This window comes from Homo sapiens, chromosome 4, assembly GCF_000001405.40.
Source record: "Homo sapiens chromosome 4, GRCh38.p14 Primary Assembly".
NCBI lineage: Eukaryota > Metazoa > Chordata > Mammalia > Primates > Hominidae > Homo > Homo sapiens.
This window is the reverse complement of record NC_000004.12, coordinates 113029398-113049245: the sequence shown is the minus strand read 5'-3', so window position 1 is coordinate 113049245 and position 19848 is coordinate 113029398. Positions and strand designations below refer to the sequence as shown.

At 37.5% G+C, this 19848-nt stretch overlaps 1 protein-coding gene and 1 long non-coding RNA gene across 45 annotated transcripts in view; one reads left to right on the top strand and one right to left on the bottom strand.

Annotated features, from left to right (window-relative positions):
* Nucleotides 1-19848, bottom strand: part of ANK2 (ankyrin 2) — a 678115-nt gene that overhangs the window by 334491 nt on the left and 323776 nt on the right. The gene's annotated exons all lie outside the window — the stretch shown is intronic.
* ANK2-AS1 (ANK2 antisense RNA 1) lies at nt 4417-19847 on the top strand. Of its 2 annotated transcripts, none has more exons than XR_007058232.1 (4): nt 4417-4688; nt 13153-13253; nt 14452-14563; nt 19442-19847. It is a non-coding gene; the product is annotated as an ANK2 antisense RNA 1 (long non-coding RNA). The 2 variants fall into 2 exon arrangements; XR_001741419.3 differs by lacking the exon at nt 19442-19847 and adding an exon at nt 14669-14748.

Genomic DNA, 19848 nt, shown 5'->3' with positions numbered 1-19848 from the left:
TGGTTATTAATATCCTAAAGTGAATATAAGAAAGCTATGTTTTTCAGATGTCATTCACTTGGTTTAAAATATAATCTTTTGAAACTACACTCAAGGATGACTTCTGTCATAAAGCCTTGAGAACAGCTTCTCCAACCTCCAGATAACCCCAACCACTCTCTTCTCCTGTGCCTTCTCTTTCCAATGTAAGCTTCTGACAGTATACCTGTGACAATGTATTACACAACTGCCCAGATACCTAACCATCTTTTCTTGATAGGCCAAGAGCTTTAGATCAGGAGTGTGTGTGTGTGTGTGTGTGTGTGTGTGTGTGTGTGTGTGTGTGTGTCTGGGTAGGGGGAGAACTGAATTTCCCAGAACCAAGCATAATCCATGGCACATTAAAGGCAGTTAATCAAGGCTTGTTAAATATCTAAGACACTATCAGTAATAAAAACATAAAAAACTAATGGAGTTGCAATATTTTATAACTTATCTCAAAAGTTTTCTTAACCTAATTGTGTCTATTGACTGATGAATAAAACACAATCCCTCCTCTCAAGGGGTGTATACTATAAAGTTCTGGAATTCTTCTTGATTTTAAAAAAATGGGGCTTGTTTTTATAACAAGAAACCCAAATTCACTTATTGATTAAGGTGGCCATACTTGTATATTTAAAAATATTAACTTGTAGGCTGGGCGCAGTGGCTCATGCCTATAATCCCAGCATTTTGGGAGGCCAAGGCAGGTGGATCGCAAGGTGAGGAGCTCGACAACAGCCTGGCCAACGTGATGAAACCCTGCCTCTACTAAAAATACAAAAAAAAAAAAAAAATTAGCCAGGTGTGGGGAGGCTGGGGCAGGAGAATTGCTTGAACTCGGGAGGCGAAGGTTGCAGTGAGCCAAGATTGCCCCCAGTGCACTCCAGCCTCGGTGACAGAGCAAGACTCCGCCTTGAAAAAAAAAAAAAAAAAAAAAAAAAAAAAAAATATATATATATATATATATATATATATACACACTTGTAGATGCAACCAGAACCTAATATACTTTGTACAAATGCACATATGTATATTCTAAACACTTGCCCTTATTCCCAGACAATGAACGTAAAGTATAATACACAGCATACTTAGAAGTAAAAATAGAGTAAGGATTAAACCAACGAGATAGTGTATATAAATGCACTTTGAAATTGGAAGGTGCCTATGTAAATGTGTTGCTATTGCTAATCTTATTATTATTACAAATATAGACAGTTTTCAACTCTGAAAGTGTACCTTAAGAAACATATTTATGTGAAAATGACTGCAGCAGTTGAGAACTCACCTTTCCATCAGACAGAGCAACAAAAATTCACCTATTTCCCCATTGCTGTTAGGATTGCTCCTTCTCTCTGCCTTACCACCCTAAGGCCCCTCCACGTCATCATCTGGAGTCAACTCTGTTTTGCTGCCCCTCACTCCCTCCACCCTCCTCCTGTTTCAGCAGACCCATTCCACCAATGCCATTCTCTCACCATTGCTTCAGTGGTATCTTGGATCACACAGCCAGGCCAAAGAGGCAAAGGTTCTCTCTTTTTTTTTAAAACAAAACCCCAAAGAGCTTCTACAGAAGCCTCCAGAAGCCCAACTCCCACTGTGGTCACAGCCCCCACTGAAATCCCCATGCCATTTCCTACTCCCCAACCACCTGCTCTCCCAACCCCTCACTCATTCCCTCACCTCGTCCCATTAGATGCCCCTTTCTTGACCTTTCTTGGGAGCAGCCTCAGCTTGGACACATTCAGTTACTCGATAAATATTTATTGGATGACTATCATGTGCCAGGAACTGAGCACTAGAGGCACATTGTGCTAACTACTGTGGATATCATGATAAACAAAACATTTTTGCAGTCATAGTGCTTACATTCTAACAGTGGAACTAGGTGGTAAACAAAAATAATAGTGACAAATGCTCTGGGGAAAAAAAGTAGAATAAGGAGTGATGAGAGACACATGTTACTGTGCTTAGCACACAAGGTGCTAAGGAATGCTCTTTAGAAATCTGAATGGACCAAGCCAAGCAATTACCTGAAGGAAGAATATTCTAGGCAAACAGAATAGCAGTTCAAAGGTCCCGAGATGGGAACTTCTTGGCAAAAATGTTGAGGAAACTATTATACCATGAAAAGAAGAAGCAAAATGGAAAACCTTTGTCGTAACTGGATCTATAGGAGAGAGATGCTGTTAATGTTCTTTGTCAGTTGAAGTCAGAACACGTTTTTCAATCAATGTGTTTGGTAGCCCAATTAGTAATAGAATCATTGCTTGGACATCACCTCTGCAATGCAAATTGAAAACAAATATACTTCGTATTTCAACAGTTTATGAATTAGTAACTTCTGATTATGTTCTGACAGCCTTTGTAACAATGCCTCCTCTGTCAACATTCAAACATACAGTGCATGGTTGTAAATTCTCAGATTTTGGCTTCTCAATTTGACAGTCTGCTATACCCTGCTGGCTGCTTGTGTATCTTAGTGTGTTGGTGCTGCTATAACAAAATACCTGAGACGAGGTAATTTATAAATAATAGAAATTTATTTGTCACAGTTCTGAGGCTGGGAAGTTCCAAGATCAAGGCACCAGCAGGCTCACTGTCTGGTGAGGGCCAGGTCTCTTCTTCCCAGATGGCATATTGAACACTCTCCTCACATGGCAGAAGGAAAGAAAAGCAAAAAGGGCCTACCTAGTTCCCTCCACCCCTTTTATAAGGCCACTTATCCCATTCACGAGGGCTCTACCCTCGTGACTTAATCACCTCCTAAAGGCCCAGTTCCCTAACACCATCACACTGGGGGTTAAGTTTCAACATGATTTTGGAGGACACAAATATTCAAGCCATAGCAGTGTCATTCTGAAATATTACTTAAACTTGTATACAATGCACTTCCTGTACAAAGTATTGCCCAAATGCTATACAGTATAACATAGATGTAAACATCTAAATTCTGTATAAAATGAAAATCCCAGCCAGTAGTTAAACAGGTGCCGGTAGTATTGTATCAATTACAACACCGGGGGTAAATATCTCTCTGACATTTTCTATAGAAAATGTCAAGATGTTATAAGTGTTTGGGCAGTCATCTTTCCTCTTCTGAAAGCTTTCCGTCAATTTCCTTGTGCCTGTCTGCTGAGTATTCTTCACTTCCTATCCTAATGTACATTTTCCAGTGGGCATGTCCCTAACTGGACTCTAAGCTCCTTGAGGGCAGGATTAATATCTATCTTGGCATGCCACATAAAGCCTACTGCAGTGCATGGCATATAATAGGGGACTAGGAACTATTTTTAAATACAGTAAAGAAACATTTTCAGTACTTACTATGAGTTTTTATTTACAATTAGACATCTAAAAGATTATTTTTTATTTCTTAGATTTTTCTTTCCCTTTATGTACTTTCTGATATCTAAGAGCTATATATAATTTTAAATAAGATTTTTACAGATATTTGAGAAAAGGGAGTTGCTGCAGGCACAATAGCAATGATGATAATACCTTACATTTGCATTTTATAATTCATAAAGCCCTTTTAGCTCCTGGAATGGAAGCTCCATGAGAACAGAGATCTTTGTTGTTCTCGTTGATATAATTCAAGTACCTATAAGAGTGCCAGCATATGACAGATACTCAATAAATACTAAGTGACTTTACGGGATTCTCATAACCACACAAGGTTAGTGTCAACCACAGTACAGGTGATAAAACTGAAATAAAAAGTGGGTTTGGTGACTTGTCCAAAGTAAGAAAGTTAATAAGATATAGAGCTTAAGTTCATCAGATTTGAAGGCTGTTGTTCTTTTATTAAATCATAGCTGGCTTCAATGAAAAGCAGCCACTTAATAAAGTATAAGATGGACAAAGACTAAGATGGAAAATGCCAGGAAAAGAAACCGCTGTCAGATGACAATGACCCAGGCAGAAATATGAAGATGTCTTTATTGGTGTTTTGTTAAGCATATTTTATAGGCATGGAGTTTTAGAGGTGATTATTCTAATTTTCATATGCCTATTCTATTTTATTAAACCATGAGTGTTAATAGTATTAAGAACTCTAACACACTATTTAAATTCATAACATTATTTGAGTGAGGTAAAGTTCTCTGAAGTATAAAGCCTTGATGTCTTACAGGTAGATTATCTCCATTTGTGAGTCAAGAGTTGTCTGTTGTTACAAACATTTTTTCACAGAAACTATGTTAAAAAATCTCAGTTCTCTAAAGCCCTCAAAAGGCTTTCCCACTCACTATTACTTATGGTAGAAAATCTTAACTTGGCAAAGATCCAATAGGGGACACCAAAGCATTTTTTTTTCCTTTTGGACACATAGCTAGACTACTGTTGTGGATTGAACTGTGTCCCCCTAAAAGATATGTTCAAGCCCCAGTTAAGATGAGGTCATAATGAACTAGGGTGGGCTAACCCAATGACCAGGTGTCCTTATAAGAGGAGAAAAAACTAGATGTAGAGACACACAGAGAGAAGATGGCCATGCAAAGACAGAGGCAGAAATTGGAGTGATGTAGCTACAAGGCAAGGGATGCCAATGATTGCCAGCAACCACTAAAAGCTGGGAAGAGGCAGGGGAGGGTCCTTCTCCAGAGCCTTCAGAAGGAACATAGCCCTGAAGACTCCGTGGTTTTGCACTTCTAGTCTTCATAACTGTGAGAGAATACAGTTCTGTTATTTTAAGCCACCCAGTTTGTAGTGCTTTGCTATGGCAACCCTAGGAAACTAGTACAGTTATATTTTCCATCCTCCCTTATAGTTGGTTGCAGCCTTGAGATTTAGTTCTAACCTGTAGAATGTAGGTGGAAGTGTACGCCACGTTGAAGCCTAGTTAATAAACCCTCCCATGAGTAATCTCTATTCATGTGCTAGCTCAATACACAGGCAGACAAAACCTAGAAGGTGGAAGAGCAAAGACTGGGGAAAGGCTGAATCCCTGAATTACTGTGTGGAGCAGAGTCCTTCTTATTCCCTTTTTTATTAAACCTCATAGGACACAAGTAACTTTTTCTCATGCGAGTTTAATCACTGAGATTATGGTGTTGTTTATGAAAACAGCTAGCCTATGGTAACTAACCATATCTACCCATGTTTTTAAGGGAATACATAGTTATATTTCCACTTTAGGATGTCTGTTATGTGAACGATACTCCCATTGCACCAACATTCTTAGCTATTGAAAATTGATCCTATGTCCTGTATTAAAGGCACTAGTCTGGTAAGAAAGGGAACCAAAAGGAATTACAGGGAGATCAGAAGAGATGAGGAGAAAAATATTGTTTATTAGGGGTGGGTAGCAAAAAGGAATGCCTGCCAGATCTATAGAATCACAATCCCAGAGCAGCTTCTGTCCACTTTCCTTTTCCTCCTGCCTCTCTTCCTCAATAAATCCTTTGTGTCCTTTTGTTGCCAAAAGTCATTGTTCTGACCATGGTAGTCTCCCTTCTTGACTCACTGAGAATGTAAACACAGAATGCCTGCCTGTCTTACAAACAAACACATGACTTTTTTGACATTCCCTAAGAATTCTTTTTTCTCTCTTTTTTATACTTTTGTTATCAGTGGGGAAAAGATATGGAATATAAAGATAACAAAGAGAAAATCCAGCTTCCCAAAATTCACAATGAAAAAGCCACTGGTCAACCAGGCACAGTGGCTCATGCCTGTAATCCCAGTGCTTTGGGGAGGGCAAAGCAGGAAGACCACTTAAGCCCAGGAATTCAAGACCAGCCTGAGCAACATAGTGAGACCCTGTCTCTTTTTTTTTTTTAAAGCCCCTGGTATTTGTTGGAATGTACACAGAGTTGGGGTCAGATCTACTTCTGGGCCTGGGGACTGCTCTCCTCCAGTGCCCTCCCTGAATTGCCAAGTGTCTGTCCTAGTGTTAGTCTATACTTCTTCTTTTCCATAGAAGACCTGGAAGGACTCTATTTAGTAGTTCCACCTCCTTGGAAGCTAAAGTGAGGATCATGGGCCAGGCAAGAGGCCTTTTTTATTTATTTCTCCCAGTTCTTAGTAGTTACACCATCAGCATCAGCAAGAAGTACTTCTTCTCCCTCCTTGAGATCCTTTTGTTCCTCTCACCTATGTCTTTCTCCTCTAAATTTATTTATTCCTTTATTCATCCAACAGATATTTGGGGGGTCACTGACTACTATATGCTGGACCCCATGCTAGTTACTGGGGCTTTGGCATGAACTAGATAATCTTTTTCCTTACAGAGCTTACAATCTAAAGCTAGTGATGGTCATAGAACCAGAAATACAGTAACACCCTCTGTAGGAGATAAGGTATTACAGAAGCATAAAACAGGGGCACCAAACCTAGTCTGAAAGAACAAGAAAAGTCTCTGAGAGAAAGTGGCTTGTAAACTGAGAAGATCTGAGCTGTAAATAGAAATTATCTAAATGAAAAGGAAGGTGTAAGTGGGAGTTAAAGAATAATTTGAGCAAAAACAACAGCACTGGAGAATGCCCTCTGGTGGAAAAGACCATGACACTGGCAGAACTGAGATGAGGCCCACATAGTTGAATGGTAGCTTCCAGCCAGGCCTGCAGTAGTGACTCCATCCTAGGCCTAAAAGTATCAGCAAGCATGTTTGTCCATAGACTCTCAGTGTCCCGCGTAGGTATCTGTTACTGACAAAACATTTGTGTCCCTGCAAAATTTACATGTTGAAATTCAAACCCCCAATGTGATGGTGTTGGAAGACAAGGCCTTTGGGAGGTGTATTAGTCAGAGTTCTCTAGAGAAATAGAACAAACAGGATATATAGCGATAAATAGATGAGGGGATTTATTATGGAAATTGGCTCATACCACTGCAGAGGCTGAGAAGTCCCACAATAAAACACCTGCAAGCTGGAGAACCAAGAAAGCTTGTGGTGTAATTCAGGCTGAGGCCAAAGGCCTGAGACTCCAAGAACCAGGGTGAGGGTGGAGAGGCTGGTGTAAGCCCTGGAGTCTGAAGGCCTAGAACTGGAAACTGATGTCTGAGGGCAGGAAGAGATGGATGTGCCAACTGAAGAAGGCAGAGAATTCATCCTTCGTCTCCCTTTTTGTTCTATCTGCGCCTTCAATGGAGTAGATGGTGCTAGCCCACATCGGTGAGGGTGAATCTTCTTTACTCAGTTGACTGATTCAAACGCTAATCTCTTCCAAGAAACTTTCTCACAGACACACTCAGAAATCATGTTTTACCAGCTATCTGGGTATTCCTTAACCCAGTCAAGTTGACACATAAAATTAACTATCAGAGTAGGTAATTAGGTCATAAGCGTGGACTGCTCATGAATGAGATTTGTGCCCTTAAGGAGAAACAGAAGAAAGATTATTTGTCTCTCAGCTATGTGAAGATACAATGAGAAGACAGTCATCTGCAAACCAGAAAGTGGACCTGGGCCCTCACCAGACACTGACTCTGCCTGCACTTTGACCTTGAACATTCCAGTCCTCAAACCTATGAGAAATAAACGTTTGTTGTTTAAGCCACCCAGTCTATAGTATTCTGTTACAGCAGCCTAAACTAATATAGTATCCATGTGTCATACCTAATCATTATTACATACCTTGTGAACCATGTAGTAAGATGGCCCTGTTAGCTTATGGAAAATATTTCCCTAAAACTAGGATGTTATATACTGGTGATATGGCTAAAAAGGGCAGATTTTGCAACCATGTAACACACTTCCTCTGAAGTTTCAGGGAATATGTTTGGAGATAGAAGAACCAGTCTTATGCCTAGGCAAGAAGAATTCCATGACCACCAAACTGAGCCCATCTCCCATGAAGAGCTGGAGAGATTTGAGAAGCCACACCCAGCAACATCCTCAGCCTGATATTACCAGTGGTTCCTTAGTAAAATATATCATGTGTGCTTATTGCAGCACATTTAAATTAAACCAGAGTGGGGCATGGGAAGATGCCAGAGATGCAGGGAGTGAAGAGCTCAACAGGCCATGTTAAGGATTCGGGATTTAGACCTAAAAGCCATCAAAGCCATTTAATGGTTTAAAGAAATAAGTGAAATGATAAAATCTGAAGTTTTTGTAAAGAGCATTCCTTATAAAGAGTTATTGAATGGGAACTAAGCAGCGAATGGATATGATGAGAGGTATCTAAGAGTCTATAACAGCAGTCCTGTAGAGAGATGATGATGAGGGGTGGACAGATGCATTAGTCTGTCACCACCAAAAATGTTATATTCACAAGTCCTAGGAGGAAGTGAGAAACAAGAAGAGGACAGTGGGAAGGCATCTTGCCTAAACAGAAAGAGACCTCATCATCACAAAAGTCTCACATGGGGAAGGGCTCTCAAAGAAAAATTTGTGAAATCCATTTCATTTGACAAAGGAGGGAACAAGACCCAAAAACATTAGGGACTGCTCTCAAGGTACCACAATTAGTTAGCATAGGGAAGACAGGACCCAGGACTCATGCCACCTCACTAAGTAGCCTTTACACCTTGGTCATCTTCACACAGATGAGCTTTAAAAGGTGGCATTATATCTTACCTGCTATGATTTGAAATTAAGGAGCCATAAATTCTTGCTTAAGGTGTAAAAGACCAGAGAGAAATGAGTCCACTAAACAACTACTCCCCTCAGTGAATGATTAAGGGAGGAAAGATCTTTGTGTCTGATGTAAATATGGAGTGTCTCCTTCCTGAATTGCAACCAGCTCAATCAAGATTTCACTGAGATGGATTTTAAAGCAGCAGCAGCAGCAGCAGCAATTGTTTAGGGACCTGCTTGTTTTCGCTTTATACCAGTCCAACATAAGGTTTACCACAGAGGTAATTTGGTTGCAAAATTTACCCTGTGCAATCTAAAAAGAGAACTTTTGGAAATCATAACATACAATTTTAACACCTCACTTCACCTGAGACAAATATTAAATTTAGCCTAGTGATTAACTATGTCTTATTTTACATAAATATCAGCAACAATATTTTAGATGAAACGTAGAATTTCACTGAAGAATAACAAAATGTGGGTGAGCTCACCATGTACATGCTCCCGGCTAGGTCAGTTTTTTAGGACGCATTATCATCTGCTTGCTCTACTATACATTCAGTCTCTAGTGATATTAGTTCTTGAAAATAGCTGTTATAATTGGGTTTTCCTGTAAATGCAAATAAATAGCACATTGGGGCAGGTCGTGTCCTTGAAAGACATATTTTTTCAGGGGCAACTTAATTTATTACTGTAAACATTTTCTATCTTAAACCAGCTTAAAAATAAGTTATCGCAAATTTTTTTCTTTTAACAAAAGAAAAACTCCGGGCCCATTGATAAAAAGTCAACAAATAACCTAGGGCCTCCATATTTACGTCCATTATAAATGTAAATCATATTTTAAAAGATATGTACCCATGGAGTGATGGAATTTACAAGAAGACAAAGAATCCCAATGTTAGAAGGTAACTTAGAAACCATTGTATCCAGCTCCTACCTCTCAGTAAGTAAGAAAATTGGAACCCCCTAGGCTATGTTACCTACTCAAGGTTGCATATACAGTTAGGCACTTTGAACTAAATTCTCAGTTTTCTTATTCCTAATTCAGTGTTAATATATTCTAGTGGGGTGTCTTTCGGCTAAAATGAATTCAGGAGCCCCCACTCCTCAGCAAACACATAGGCCCAGCAATTGCTCAGTGCTCTGAGAGTGAGAAAAAAAAAATATGTAAATCATTATCTATGAGGCAGAAATGTTTCAGATGTTTCAGGCATTACAAGTAGAGAGCTGAATAAGAGAAAACGATTTTTTGTTGTTATTGTTGTTTTGCAAAATGCTGCAAAATACCCCAAGTTAAGATCAGGGGTTTCTATAATGGAATCAAAGGAGAAGAAGGCAAAAAAGGATTAACTTGGAGATGAGCCTGTTTTTCACAATGTTACCCTTTGCCAAAGAATCTCAAGAATGGTGGAAACCAAAGATAATACGAACATAAAAACTTCAAGGAGACTTTAAATAGTTATGATTAAAAAAAATAGATGGCAAAGGAAGTCAGTTTACTATCTTATCACTCTTGTGAATTAATAATTAATGACTGACCACTAAAATTCCTTCCATTTAGTAAAAGAAAAAATCAACAGAAAGTGTTTATTACCTTTTAGTGTTCTCTAACTTTTAACTACCATCCAGTCAGGAATGGTGGCATTCTAATTACCTATTACCTCACAAAATACCTCATAAACTTACTGTCTTAAAATAATTTCATTTTTCTCTCAAATTTGTGAGTCGGGGATTAAGGAAGGGCTCACCTGGCTGATTCATTCTGATACATGTGGTGTCAGCTGGGGCAGCTCAGGCTGGAGGATCTACTCCTACTGTGGCATCCTTACTCACATACCTGATTTCTTGGTGCTTGTTGCTCTCTCTCTCTTCCCATGTGGCATTTCATTCTTCAAGGCCTCTCCACATGGCTTGGGTTTTCACTGTATGGTGGTTTGAACATAGTTGCATTCTTTTATTACAGTTGGCTTCCCAGAGGCCAGGAAATGGCAAGTGCCTGTCCAATTAAGGGCTCTGCCATATTTTATTGGTCAAAGCAGTCACAGGGCCCTTCCAGATTCAAGGGGTGAAGAAATCGACGCCACCTCTTGTTGAGGGGTAGGTGGAAAGGTCACATTGCTGAAGAGCATATGGAAGGGGAGCCATCTTGGGAAATGTACTAGGCCACAGATGGCCAGCAAGTAAAGTAGGCCAGAGAGAGAGAAAGCAGACAGGCTGACTTTGCGTACTATACTAAGGGGGTCTTTTCCCAAAGGAACAGACTCTGCTAGCCAGAACTGCAATGTTCTGCATTCCCTTTATTCATTTAAAAAAAAACAGTTATCAATGAATTTCTGAAATGATTACATATTACTGGGTCAAACGCTACTATTTCTTCTCAAAAAAAAGTCTTTGTTGATCTTCAAAGATGAGTTTCACGTATCCTGCTTTCTGAATGTGAGCTACTGTCTAATCAATTCACCGGAATTCTTTCATATTAAACTACAGTGCAGCTTTTTTTGAACTTTCTTTAGCCTCTCTCTTTTCACTCTCCTTGGCCCCTCCTCTTCTACGTAACATCTATATGACCTCGTAACAGCCTTAAATTCTATACAAAAAAAAGATAATTAAAAAACAAGCTTAAAAATGAAACAAAAGTATATCATAACTTAGAACTAATTTGAACTAATGTCTAAAAAGGGACACATGTAGTGCAAGCATAATTATTGTTTGTTAGCTTCAAACTCTATACTAGGAAAATGATTAAACACATAATAGAGTTGGAAGAAAGTTTATTAACTTGTTAACAACCTGCTACTGCAGTCTAGAATTTAGTCTTTAGTTCTGATTTACATAAATATTGGATATCATTTGTGCTGGACCTTAACAAAACCTATATAACTGATAAATTCCCTTGTTCTCTTCTATTTAGGCCTTATTCATGTTTCTGGCTTACAGTAACACTAGAACAGAAAATACCTACTTTAATTATTTAATTTGCTTAACTACCAAGAACAAATTGTGACTTGGGCCTTGATAATGTGCTGATAATCAGACCTGGAGAGTATCCAAATTCAAGTAGGAAAAACAATCCTCCTCAAGAAATTTCATCAAGTCCTACACAAAAAAACTTAGGAACCAAAGTATGGTCAATCCTTCTATTTTGGTCACATTGACTATACAAATTACTATATAGTATCTGCTTGCCAGTTTATCTTGCATAAGTGTCAAAAAAATAACTTTTGCCAGCCTGTTAATTTGCAAAAACATTTAGAGTATAACAATAATAATACATTTAATGCTACAAAGATTGAAATTGATGAGAGCAACTAAGTATAATAGTATTTCACAAATCTAATCAGTTGAGACTCAGAATATTAATGCCACACTTAGACCTTAAGCTGTTCTAATTAAAACTGTAGAAATCTAAGTAAAAATTTAGTTATGTCCATTGATTTACAACATTTCCAATTTTATTTATGCCTAACCAATTATAAGAGTATTTCCTGGGCCCACAAATCTGTCAGCCTAGAAAGTGTTGAACTGTGAAGGAGCTGAGATCTTATCCTACTTGCAAGTTAACAAGTTAGTTTGCTACAATCTCATAGATTGTGGCAGAAGATATGAGACTCCCAGGTCAGAAACAAAGAGCTGTATTATTATACACCACTGCAAGTAACATTAGCATCAGCATATTTGTGTCAGTTTCCCTGCTCCCAATTAAAGTAATGTGTACAGGCTAGATGGATGCCAGCACATTCAGCAGGCTGTGTACCAGAGAGAAACCCTGAGTTTAGGAAGCCTGAATCTTTTATAGTGGGCAATAAGTATGTGTGTACTTTGCTCCAGAGGGAACCTTTGTCTTCATTATACTGGCTAGTAAGCATGCCAGACTTTTGCTTCTCTGTGCTGCTTGCTATACCAACATCTTGGAAAAAAATAATCTAGAACAAAGACAGTCCGTGCCTCTGCTTGCAAGATGTACAGAAATGCAAGAAATCTACAGAACATTATTTCAACAGAAAGTTTCAAAAAATATAGGTTATTTTGCAGTTGTGGCTCAAAGTGTGAATTTGCCCTTTGTGTCACAGTCTAAATTTAAGTGGAAACTAGATGAGATTTCCTTCAAATTTCCTGCAGGCATACATATCTGTGTAGCAAGATGTAACAGTTAGCTTAATTATAAACATTTGGAAGATTATCTGTAGTCTTACCCAAATCACTATGGTATACAATCAGAAGCAATGGCTGAAGGTCAGCACACTCAGATTTTAAGCCTCATGCTGTCCTTAACTGACAACAGGACTCACAACAAATCATATAACTTACTTGGTCCTCAGTTTCTGTATCTCTTCAAATGTGTGATTACTTTCTAATTTTTCTCCTAGATAATTTTCTTTTTGTTTGTTTCAAGTCCTGGATGTGGCATCTAAACTCCTAGATAATTTTCTATTTTTTTTTTTTTTTACTACTAAAAGTCCTTGAATCTATGAAGCTACATTTCAAAGTGGAAAAAATGACTCAAAGAGAGTTTTAAGGAGCAGATTAAATGGCCAGTGATTCAATATCAGACAAAATGTAATGTAGCTGTCTTCGTTTTCAATTCCCTTTTCTTTTTCCACTAGAAAACACAGACATTGGAAGACGTATGAGACTACGGAAACTAATTTTCTCAAGGTCAACAAATAGAGTTGGAAAATAACGAAGGAACAAAGAAATGCTGACAGTAATTATGCAAATTATTTAGACCTGAAAAACAGTTTTGGCAGTTGTACAAATGCTATGGTGTTTTACCCACTAATTTGGACAGAAAATTTTAAAATCTATGTTTGAACGTCTATTAACTTTTCCCTCTCCTCTTTCCGATTTCTCATATCCAGTATAAAACATTTTGTTTTTCCTTTGTTAACACATTTTAGGTATTCCTTCCATTCTCTATTGCTCCACCCCTTTTTCTCTCCTATCTGAGTTATTTTAATCAACAGGATTTGCTATCTCCCTGCCTTCATGTTTTCTCCTCCAATCTTATTTCCAGACAGTTGTATTTTTATTCTTCATAAAAAAATTTTTAGTCTTCAGCATTTTCAGAATAAAGGTGAAACATCTCCAACTATTGCCTAAATTCATCTACACATTCCTGCCTTCAAGCATTTTACTCGAATATCTATAAAAGGAGATAGATAAATCAAAATACAGTATGATCAAATTTTTATTAAGGACGAGTTACCAGAGCTTCTAAGAGGAACATCAAATCCTATTTTCCTGGGCTGGTGAAAAATTTCCAGATTAAAAAATACCTATTTTCTTTTCTTTCATCTCCCTAAAACCTACCTACCTGAAATCCCAAACTGACTATGAAGCTTTTTCTAAAAATGGCAAACTACATTAAACTTTCTTTCTCTTTTGATCACTATGCCACTTCTTGTCTATATTAATCACACAAGCTAGTTCTCATTAACTGCTTAATATGCCTCTGTATTTTCTTTCCAACTGGATAAATCCAGAACACCCCCTTCCCAACCCACCTGCAGCACACACCAAAAAAAAAAAAGGTACCTTTTGATACATATCATTTTATTCTGAGTGAAAGCCACTCTTGGTATCTGTTATTTCTTCCACAGACTCATAACATCTAGAATAGTAGAAAAGCCTACTTTTTAAGAAAAAAGGAAAAAAAATGGAAGGTAGATGTCAAGCCAAGTTAGAAAAACGATGAGGTTCTCAAGGTTTGAACACAAAGCTTGTTCCTAGAAATTACATTATATATGCCTTGAGTTCCTAGATAGCCCACAGAAACATTTGTTCTCTGCAAAACAGTTTTCAATTATATCTAATCATTATTATTTCAATTACATCTAATGGAAAATAATTATTATGTCTATTTAATAATGTCTAAACTGTTGTTTTAAACATTTCTTCCATAGGAAAATGAATTTCATACTCCAGTAGTGTTACCAAACTACATTTCCCCATCATGGTAGCCTAAGCCAGGAAGTGGAGAAAAGAGAAGGATGTCATTAAGTGGAAAATAATCAGGTAATTTACTCACTCTCTACATTTTCCCAGAAAGATTGTCAATATTTCTTCAGCAAACATTATTATGCACCTGCTAAGTGCCAGCTTCTCTTCTCCTTTCTACAGATAAAAAGATAATTTAGACATGATTCTTGCCCTCAAGGACATGCATAAAAAGGTACTCTCTTCTCACTGAAAAATGTGTTCCCACTTTCACTTAAACCTAGGAAAGTTAAAACCACCCCCAGGAGGTTTCTTTATATTGTCTGCAGTCTTTTCTCCTGAATATTTTCTTTCCAGTATTCTGGTCACAAAGCAGACAGTGTGTATTTCTTGATCAATTGAATAGATTGGAGATAAATCAGGATTACTCAGTTATTATTAGTTTAATTGAAAAACTACATCAGGTTATAAGCTAAATAAAAATATAAACAAACAGCAGATTCCTCTTTTTTGCCAATCTAAGGAACACTCGTGATCCAGTAAAAACTTATCTTGATTTCCGCTCTTGATATAATCGTCATCCTTAAGGTGTTCCTATCAAGAATCCTATCTCAAACCATCTTCAAGGTATTCCTACTCCAATATTTAACCCAGGTCTTCCTGGGAGTCAGAGCTTCTTCCTCTTGAACTTTTTAGGTAATTCCCAGCAAATTACTCATTCTATTCTATTAGCTAACGGGGCATGGCAACATACAGAAAAATGAAGCAAGCAGGAAAAGAGCAGATCTACCCACTGGGTCTGGAGACCTGGATGGCAGTGGAGGCTCAGCCAGCAAGCCAAGACACATTGTTCAAGATAGTTAAGACAGTTCTACCTATAATTCAGACAGCCAGGCATCTATGGTGTAGGAGTGAGGCAATGTAGAAGGAGAGAATCAAGGCAGGTGATTGCTGGAGTTTGTCAATATGGGAGTCGACTGCTAGTAACAAGTGGGCAGTTAGATTAGTTAAATGGAAACTATCCATTTGTTTTTTATCATAAAGAGTTGCATACATGGATGGGATTCTTCATAATATTGGATAACGGCAGTAATAAAAGTGACAAATTCCATCTGACCAATTTGCAGTTTGATACTTTATACACACACACACACGCACACACACACTTTTTTCTCAAATTGTAACTATTATAAGAGAAATAAATCTCTTTTCTCCAAAGATATAACTAGGCATGTGACAATAACACTAACTTATCATTTGATGTGTGACGAGTTTTGTTTTGTTTGGGTATTTCTCTGTGTTTCCTAGATTTAATTCCTTAAAGAGCACTTTTCCCCTATCATGCCATTACAGACCTTGAGCTTTTTTGTCTGCTTTATTGGAGAGGCAGAACATAAGAATCCCATTCCTGGATCGACCACTAATTGGATTATAACCATGGGCAACTTACTTTTCCTGAATTGCAGTGTCTTAATTTCTAAAATAAGAAGGTTACACTATAGTTAAGACTTCTGAGGTTGTAATCCTGGTACACACTCAGCCATTCTGTCCTCATGTAATACAAAATAGAGATGTTATCCTATGCTACACTGGTGGCAACATGGTATTCCTTGGTCCCTATTTATCAAGTTCCTAAGGCCAGGTAATATGTAGTTTTGCAAATACAGGAGAGAGACCATTTAATTTTTCTTAAGTGTAATCCAACTTAAACGGCCCAATGTGGACAAATGGAGTAGTGCTTGTGATTCCACATGGACGCACATGCTTTTCCTGATACTGGAAGCTATTTTATGATATAGTGAATGTCAGCTGGGAGCTCCTAAAGCTCACTCCAAAATCGGATTTCTCTAGAAAAACTCTATGCTTTCCTGGGTAGAAGAATGTTTCATCTAAAAGCTTGATAGCAGATATTTTCAGAAAAGATCTATCTACAAGCACCTGAGTGAGTATTCTAACTCAGCCTAGGAGCACTATCCCATCAGGGGGAAAACACTACAGGGTGACTGTCTCTTGGAATAATATATTTAAAAATACAACGCATTTAATTGTAAAAGAGTCCTTTCCTTCTCTCTAAAGTGATTTTTAAATCTTTCACTGGTATCACTGACTTTGAATAACAGAAGTAGCTGCTTTTTGGCAATACCTCAAAGTCATGTTACAGACTTACTCATTGCTAAGTGAAAGATGTGAGGACCATATAATCATTCCTGAGACTCTGTTTCCAGAGTCCCAACACCAACAGTACCAGACTCGGAAATTTAAGGGTTTACCCTCTCCTCATGGAATCCCCCTGTAATAACAGTTAAAAGGGTGAAGATGGGAATGAAGAACACCCGGCACTGGAAAAGGACTCAGAGGCAAGACAGTATCCACTGCCTCACATTCTGTATTTTTAACCCATGCCCTTCCTTGGCTCTCCACACAGTTTGTGCCCCAAGTCTGGGACAACGCCATCTAACAACAGCTTTTCTATATTAGAAACCAATTCAAAAATTAGATCAACAAAAGAAGACATGAATCCAAAACATTCTATATCTCTTTCTCTCTCAAAAAACAAACAAGCTTATGATTTAAGTTGCATATATTTTTCAAACAGTGTGTGCAGCCTTAGAGTGGTACAGTAAGTAGAACTGTTAATTAGCATCAAAATAATGCTTTGATTCATTTATGATAGCATTAGCGTTCCTGTCAAGGATTTTTGGGATGTTTGGGTTTGAGAAGTTCTTTATGTCTAAAGTACTCGATTGGGCTCATCGAGGAGTTAAGCTATAACTTGACCACACAGTAATTACATCTAATTATGATTACCTGAAAACACACTATGATTAACTTGAGTGAATACAAATGTCTTGTTTTCAAAAAGAAAAAGATGGAAAAAAAGAAGAAAAGCACACATAGAGTTTCCTGCAGGTTTTGCATACCCTTGCATTTGATATTAAGAATGTCTCTGTTTTATTTATCATGTGTTCTCCATTTACTAAATAATAGGAGAAGAGGTGTTCAGATGGGATTTCTCAATTCTTGTTTAATGAGAAGCTTCTCCTAGCTACCTCCTGCTGAACCCTGCAGTTACATCTGTCCCATCCTGATAACAAAAGAACAAAAGAACAAACCACTGGTCTACTTAAGGTTTCATCAGTGATAACACTAAGTCATCAAGTCAAACAAGAATACCAAAAAAATAGAAATGGGGTGGGAGGGAGGGAGATGAAATAATATCTTTACTTTAATTATACTTCCATGATTGAGTAAACCTCATTTTAAGTGCCTCTATCCCTTAGGAAGAAGTTTAGAGTCAGATCATCCCAGCTTACTAATAAGCAAGAAGTCAGCCCATCTGCCCATTACCCTGCAACAGTCCCCACGGCATCCTCTCTGTCCTTAAATAAATAGATCCAAGGCAAGATGAATGAATGGGTTCAGGGAAAGATAAATATCTCCAGAAAAATGCAATAAAGAGAAATTTTGAGCCAATTAATAAATTATTATAAAAGTAATTTTTTTCTAATGCATCTTAATAGGAGTCTCACAGATACTAATGTTGTATAGCTCTTCCCTCCATTTATTTTAAATTAAAATTTGTAATATATTTTAAAGAGTTTTTGGCAAACTTCAAATTAGAGTCACAAAACTGGCAGACAATTCAAGTCAGCTGTTAAGTATTTTTCAAGCAAGCAAATATCTTAAATCTTAAAGAAAAATGACCATTCATTATCTTAGTGAAGCTTTCCAGGATGGTCATTTTACTATTCTCTTTGTCTCTCATAATATCTATCACTCTGATAGCCCACCAAAATGTCTTTTTCCTTTCACCAAGCCCATTTTTCTTCCATCTCAATATAAAGTGGAAATGATCAACATCCCCCTCACTTAAAAATCTTTTCCTATTCTTAAAAGTGTCTATACAAGGCAGTTTTCAGCTCATCTTTTGAAATGTTTTAAACCTGTACTCATCTACGGCCTTCTTTTCCTTTCTTTCCTATTATTTGGATTATTTTTTTAACATTCTTTAGTCTTACCTTTTAGTTCTTAGAGTACCTTGGCCATTCACAAACATAGAAATAATATAAGCCATAGTCATCATGATGCAGATTTTTTTAAACAATGGCAGTGAATTACTGACCCATATTCAGCTTGTAACAGATTTCCTCCTGTTCTTTTCCTTCATTTCTCGCACTGAGTCCAATCCTGCATTTACATTACAAAAGGTATCACACTTTTCTGTATAGGATTTTTATTCTCTGCTTTTAAAACTACTTTAGTTTTATTTCTATCTTTTGAGATCTTACCTAATTTGAGCATCAAGGACAAATCTGACAGACATATTCTAGACTCCTAATCAGGTAGCCCCAAACCAGTCCTGTTGTTTGAAATCTCATCAGTAAGGAATTGAGCTACGGAAAATTACGTAGGTTCTTGTGTCAAACATTCTCCTTGTTAAACAGTTCATTCAGGCTAGAGATGACCACCTTGTTTAAGAAGATATCAAGTGAGCCACACATAAGACATTCCATTCTCTAAATGGTTGAGCCTTCCCTAATATATTATTTGGTTTTTTTTAGTTATATAAACAATTGACTCTTTTCTGATTTTATGTTAGTTCTACAGATGAAACACACACTTCATTTTCAATATTACCCTTCTATACACTCCTATTTTGTTGCCCTTTCATGGTATTTATAATTCACATAGTACACAAGATTTTTAATTTGCATTTTTGTTTTAGATAATAAATATAATTATTAACTTTTCATGTGGAAAACTATATCTTATTAGCAAGTAAATTAAAAAGTAAAGCAGATTATACATTCCAATGTCAAATAGAACAATGAGAACCATGTAAAATTGTATGGATGCTAATCAAATGACCAGGTATTCATGTTTTATTGTTTCTCTCACAAAATTTAAGAAAAGGTCAATAGACATCTCCATAACTGTACCTCTTTAATCTACTAGGGCATTTTGAGAGTGGTGTTTTTGGCCGTCGAGATAAGTCAGTCATTCTGAGGTATGGATGGACAGAGAGCAAGCACTGGCAAGAACAAGAAGAGACGAATAGGTCGGGCTCTCTCTGTGGGTATAAAACTCTGAGCAGTTCACTTCAATTCATTGGATCTTGGTGGGCCTCAGACCCACTAATTACTATAGTTTCTTGAGGCCTCAAGGTTCATTTTCTAAAGAAGAACTCCGGCCACGTTCATTTATAGCTATCTTTTAAAAATACCCAAATCTGGCTGCGCAGTGGCTCACGCCTGTAATCCCAGCACTTTGGGAGGGTGAGGTGGGAGGATTGCTTTAGACCAGCATGGGCAACACAGCAAGACCCCATCTCTACAAAAAATAAATAAATAAATAAAAATTAG